Genomic DNA, 6,070 nt, shown 5'->3' on the forward strand with positions numbered 1-6,070 from the left:
TTAACTCCTTGTCTAGGCCAGCTTCCTGGGCTTGACAATTCCAGGTGTGATTTAAATACATATTTTTAGTATTTACATCAGGGTTTCTCAATCTTGGTGCTGTTGACATTTTGGGCTAGATACTTCTTTGTCGCAGGGAGCTGTCCTGTGCTTTGCAGAATGTTTCCAGCAACCCTGGCCTCTACTTCTTAGAAGCTAGTAGCACACACTCCCCATCTACCTCCAGATGTGACAACCAAAAATGTCTCTGACATTGCCAAGTGTCCCTGAGGAACAGAGCATCTGTGGCTGAGAACCCCTGATCTACAAGTTCACATGTTTAAATGTGTCCGTAAACATAATGGTCATGGTAATGGCCAGGCCTCTGTGCCAGGCAGTGCTCGGGGTTGGGGCGGGGAGGGAAATTAGGAATTATAATAAAGTTCTTCAACGAATGTATAAGACATGCTCCAAAGAGAGACGTTAGCAGAGCTATACCTTTGCTGGAAAGTCCTCAATGACTTTAACCAAGTCTTGGCACTGCTGTGCAAAGGGCTTATTTATAGAGTCAGCTTTCAGGCTAGCCTAGAAGACAGAACAAAGCGAAAAAGTCACGAGGACATTCACTCTGCAGCTTTTAGTGGCACTCTGGCTTGAGTCAAACAGAAATCCAAGCAATAGGTTATGAGTCAGACCCATAACCTCTGGCCTGGTTCCCCAGCCCCTCATGTGTGTCAGTGGCCCAAAGAGTACTACTAGGAGAGGCCGTAGTTCTATGCTCTCTGGACCAGGAACTATCAGCCTTGTTTCCCAGTACCCCCTCAGAGTGCTGCACATGATCAGAACAGGATTGACTTCCACCAATCCATAAGTAGGGGTTGGTCCCAGAGTCAGCCCCACAGCCAGAAGAGGATCTTGACTGTGTAAGGGCACCCCTCACAAACCACAGAGTATAACTGAGTTTGTACGCATCAACTGGAAATTTCCAGCCTGATGGACCACCGTGATTACACCATTGTGATCATCAGTAAGAACGCCCAACAACATCACGGCTATGGCAGAAGCTCTCTTAAATGAGCTGTCCTTTATTCGGTAGACACTGAACCACTAAACCAATGATCTTAAAACACAGGGCAGACAAAAATTATAGATGGCTTCAGCCAAGTAGACACTAATCATGAAGGCAATGGAGAGGCCAGAAAAGACTCAGGACAAGGACTAATGAAATCTACCTAGTCGTGGGATGTGAGGAAAGCACCCTGACTACAAGGAGAAAAAGGGCATCTGTGCGAATGGATTAAGATCAGGAGAAACGGCTAGAATTTCAACCTAGAGAGCTTTGCCAAAGGATATCTAAGGCCTTGTCTACCTCCAAACAAGGGTGGATTTCACAGTGATTGAGACAGAGATGGAGACCTGAGCTATCTGGCCATGGGCCAGACCTGTTGACTCTAGTGGGGTGCACTGAGGAAGAATGTCCTTCCACATAAATGTTTACAAAAACACCTCCTAAGAACTAAAATTAGGAACTTTCATCACCAATACTTGCCTCATATCTAACTTCTCACTTCTCAGTATCATTTTTTTTTCCTTTTTGAGTCTTTACTATGTTGCCCAGGCTGGTCTCAAACTCTTGGGCTCAAGTAATCCTCCTGCCTCAGTCTCCTCAGTAGCTGGAACTCCAGGCATGAGCCACTGCACCCAGTTCTCAGCATCATGTTTAATACTTAAAGTGCAACCTAGCAGGCCCCCGCACAACAGTGTCTCCATTTTTCACTGATGACAGTTATGACTGATTATTAGAATACTTCATATCTATTTAAGAATTTACAAGTCATGAACATTCTGATATACATCCTTCTCACTTGCTCTTCCTCCTCCTCACACCCTTGGGAAGTAGAGAAAATAGAATTTGAATGAACTTGTGTGAGAAAACCCAGAGCCCAGAAGTTGAGTAACCCCAAGGTCCTGTAGTAATAAGGAGGCACAGTCAAGTTAAGGAGTCTGCCATTGTTTCCATCACATGCCCCTAAAAAACAACCACTACAGAGTTCTTCAAGTCAATGGGAAGAACACTCAAGTCCCACATCTACAGAACTATGGCCACACTGACACTCATGCAAGCAGTTGATATTTACCAGTAGAAAGCTGGGCTGCTGCAGGTGAGGGAACGCCATAGCAGCCTCCAGTGGAGAGTTGAAAATGGCCTTCTTAGCAAACCACTGTGGAAAAACAAAGACAAAATCTCAACATCTGTAACACAGCAGAATCTTTTTATATTATTTTTTTAGAGACAGGGTCTTGTTCTGTTGCCCAGGCTGGCATGCAGCAGCACGATCATAGCTCACTGCAACCTCAAACTCCTGGGTTCAAGCAATCCTCCCACGTCAGTCTCCTGAGTACAGGCACGTGCCACTATGCCTGGCTAATTTTCTTCTTTTTTGAGACAGGGTCTCGCTATGTTGCCCAGGCTAGTTTGTCAGGCTGTGATGCCCAGGATCCTGGCCTCCACTGATCCTCCTGCCTTGGCCTCCTAAGTGTTGGGGTTACAGGTGTGAGCCACTGCACCTGGCCCTAACAAAATATTACATAGTTTCACAATGCCCAGGAGAATATCACACATTACATTACCAATTCGCAACACACATTACATTGCCAATTCTCATGTCTTACTTATTGATTAGAGACAGGCTCTTGCTTGCTCACTCAGGCTGCAGTACAGTGGTGCGATCATAGCTCATTGCAACCTCAAACTCCTGAGCTCAAGTGATCCTCCTGCGTCAGCCTCCCAACTAGCGGGAACTACAGGCAAACATCAACAAGCCCAGCTAATTTTTGTACTTTTTGTAAAGATGGGGGTTTCATCATGTTGCTTAGACTGCTCTTGAACTCCCAGACTCAAGCGAACTATCCGCCTCAGCCTCCCAAAGTGCTGGGATTACAGGTGTGAGCCAACACGCCTGGCCAGCAATTCCCATCTTTTATAGAAATGCTGTTCTCAGCCGGGCATGGTGGCTCCCACCTGTAATCCTAGTACTTTGGGAGGCTGAGGCAGGAGGATCACCTGAGGTCAGGAGTTCAAGACCAGCCTGGCTAACATGGTGAAAACCCGTCTCTACCAAAATACAAAAATTAGCCGGGCATGATGGTGGGTGCCTATAATCCCAGCTACTCAGGAGGCTGAGACCCGAGAATCACTTGAACCCAGGAGAGGTGGTTGCAGTGAGCTGAGTCACACCACTGCACTCCAGCCTAGAAGGCTGAGCAAGACTCCATCTCAAAAAAAAAAAAAAGAAAAAAAGAAATACTGTTCTCCTGCAGCCCATAGTGGCCAGCTTCAGAGCCAAGTTTGTAGTACTGAATCCTCGGTAATGCTTGTACAGCATTTGTTATATACCAGGACTCGCTCTAAATGCTCTCTATATATCTCCTCATTTAATCCTCAGTGGTAGGCAGAATTCTAAAGATAGCAGCCCAAGATTCCCGACCCCTGTTTGTTCAATCAAATACTCATCTAGGTACTGCTATGACGGCATTTTGCACATCCAATTAGAGTCCTAAGTTAGTGGACCTTAAGTTACAGAGTAGTCCCCAGCTGACAGCCAGCAAGGAAACAAAGACCTTAGTTCTACAACTCCAAGGAACTGGATTCTGCCAGCAACCTAAATAAACCTGGAAGCAGCTTCTTCCCTAGAGTCTCCAGATAAGAGCAAAGCTACCAACACCTTGATTTTAATCTTGTAATGCCTGGACTTCTGCATACATAACTATGAGATAATAAATGGATGCCGGTTTAAGCTGCTAAGTTTGTCATACAAGAATAGAAAAACCAACCTCACAACAACCCGATGGGTACAGATGTACTATGACTGCAGGTCAGTACAGATGATGAAGGAGAGGCAGAAATGGGATAATTCACTTACCCCCACCCAGCTAGTAAGTGGCAGAACCAAGATTCCAATACAAACACCACCTCACAAAACTGAGACAGGGGCAAATCCCCTCCATATTACCTGTGCACTATGCAATGAACGGAGGGGAAGAGCAAGCTCTGCCAAGGGAGCCTTTGAATAAGCCATGAGAAAACTAGGATCAAAGGCCGGGCACCATGGCTCACACCTGTAATCCCAGCACTTTGGGAGGCCGCGGTGGGCAGATCACTTGAGGCCAGGAGTTTGAGACCAGTCTGGCCAACGTGGCAAAACCCCATCTCTACTAAAAATATAAAAATTAGCTGGGTGTGGTGGCGGGCACCTGTAGTCCCAGCAACTCGGGAGGCTGAGGCATGAGAAATGCTTGAGCCCAGGAGGCGGAGGTTGCAGTGAGCCAAGATCACACCATTGCACTCTAGCCGGGGTGATAGAGGGAAACTCTCAAAAAATGGAAAAAAAAAAAGAAAAAAAAAGAAAGAAAACTAAGATCAGCTTTCCAGAATCCTACCTCTCAGCTCACCCAGGTCAGAAATGAAAAATGCTCAGACCTAGACTTCACAGACAGGAAGTCTGCCAAGTCCCACTGGTGGGCTAGTTACAGTTTTCATGGCCCAGCTCTGCCCACTGCACAAGTAAAGGCACTGGGGTGACACCTGGCAGTCTGTGGAGGAAGAGAGGCTGGGTGTAAAGAGGCCATGTAGGCAGCTGTAGAGTGAGAGGAGACAGGAATCTCTGCCTCTCGGCAATAGGAACATCTCCCAAGTTTTTTCAATTCTTTTTTTTTTTTTTTTTTTGAGACAGAGTCTCGCTCTGTTGCCCAGGCTAGAGTCCTGTGGCGCTATCTTGGCTCACTGCAAGCTCCGCTTGGGTTCACGCCATTCTCCTGCCTCAGCCTCCCGAGTAGCTGGGACCACAGGCACTGGCCACCACACCCGGCTAATTTTTTTGTATTTTTAGTAGAGACGGGGTTTCACTGTATTAGCCAGGATGGTCTCGATCTCCTGACCTCGTGATCCGCCTGCCTCGGCCTCCCAAAGTGATGGGCTTACAGGCATGACCCACCGCGCCCAGCCTCTTTTTTCTTTTTTTGACTGAGTCTCACTCCATCATCTCACTGCAACCTCCACCTCCAAAGTTCAAACGGTTCTCGTGCCTCAGCCTCCCGAGTAGCTGGGATTACAGGGGCCTGCCACCACAGGCTGCCTAATTTTTCTATTTTTAGTAGAGGCGGGTTTCCCTATGCTGGCCAGGCTGGTCTCAAATTCCTGGCCTCAAGTGATCCGCTGCCTCAGCCTCCCAAAGTGCCGACTTTTTCAATTCTTTTTTGAGATGGAGTCTCGCTCCGTTGCCAAGCTGGAGTCCAATGGCATGATCTCGGCTCACTGCAACTTCCGACTCCCTGGTTCAAGCAATTCTCCTGCCTCAGCCTCCCGAGTAGCTGGAATTACAGGCACATGCCACCACATCCAGTTAATTTTTGTATTTTTAGTAGAGATGGGGTTTCACTATGTTGGCCAGACTGGTCTCAAACTCCTGACCTCGTGATCAGCCCTCCTCGGCCTCCCAAAGTGCAGAGATTACAGACGTGAGTCACCATGCCCGGCCGCTTTTTCTTTTTTCTCCTTTTTTTTTTTTTGAGATGGTCTCGCTCTGTCGCCCAGAGTGGAGTGCAGTGGCGCGATCTGGGCTCACTGCAAGCTCCGCCTCCCGGGTTCACGCCATTCTCCTGCCTCAGCCTCCCTAGTAGCTGGGATTACAGGCGCCCGCCACCACGCCCGGCTAATTGTTTTTTGTATTTTTAGTAGACAGGGTTTCACGTGTTAGCCAGGATGGTCTCGATCTCCTGACCTCGTGATCCGCCCGCCTCAGCCTCCCAAAGTGCTAGGATTACAAGCGTGAGCCACTGCGCCCGGCCAGCTTTCTCTTTTTCTTTTTTCAGACGGAGTCTCGCTCTGGGCTCTGTCGCACAGGCTGGAGTGCAGTGGCGCGATCTCAGCTCACTGCAACCTCCGCCTCGCGGGTGCAAGCAATTCTCTTACTCAGCCTCCCAAGTGGCTGGGATTACAGGCGCCCGCTACCACGCCCGGCTAATTTTTGTATTTTTTACTAGAGACGAGGTTTCACCATCTTGGCCAGGCTGGTCTTGAACTCCTGACCTC

General features: G+C 48.0%; 1 protein-coding gene across 7 annotated transcripts in view; it reads right to left on the bottom strand.

The window, feature by feature from the left end:
* The window catches only part of SMPD4 (sphingomyelin phosphodiesterase 4), a 30,366-nt gene that overhangs the window by 23,045 nt on the left and 1,251 nt on the right, over window positions 1-6,070 (bottom strand). For all 7 annotated transcript variants that reach the window (NR_033231.3, NR_033232.3, NM_001171083.2 and 4 more), the window contains exons 2-3: window positions 2,118-2,201; window positions 478-564 (exon numbers count right to left, since the gene is read on the bottom strand). Coding sequence is in view for 5 of the 7 variants with exons in the window: in NM_001171083.2 (NP_001164554.1) it covers window positions 478-564; window positions 2,118-2,201 (171 nt within the window). In the remaining 2 variants the exon portion in view is untranslated. The remainder of the gene's footprint in view (window positions 1-477; window positions 565-2,117; window positions 2,202-6,070) is intronic.

This window comes from Homo sapiens, chromosome 2 (genome assembly GCF_000001405.40).
Source record: "Homo sapiens chromosome 2, GRCh38.p14 Primary Assembly".
Taxonomy (NCBI): Eukaryota; Metazoa; Chordata; class Mammalia; order Primates; family Hominidae; genus Homo; species Homo sapiens.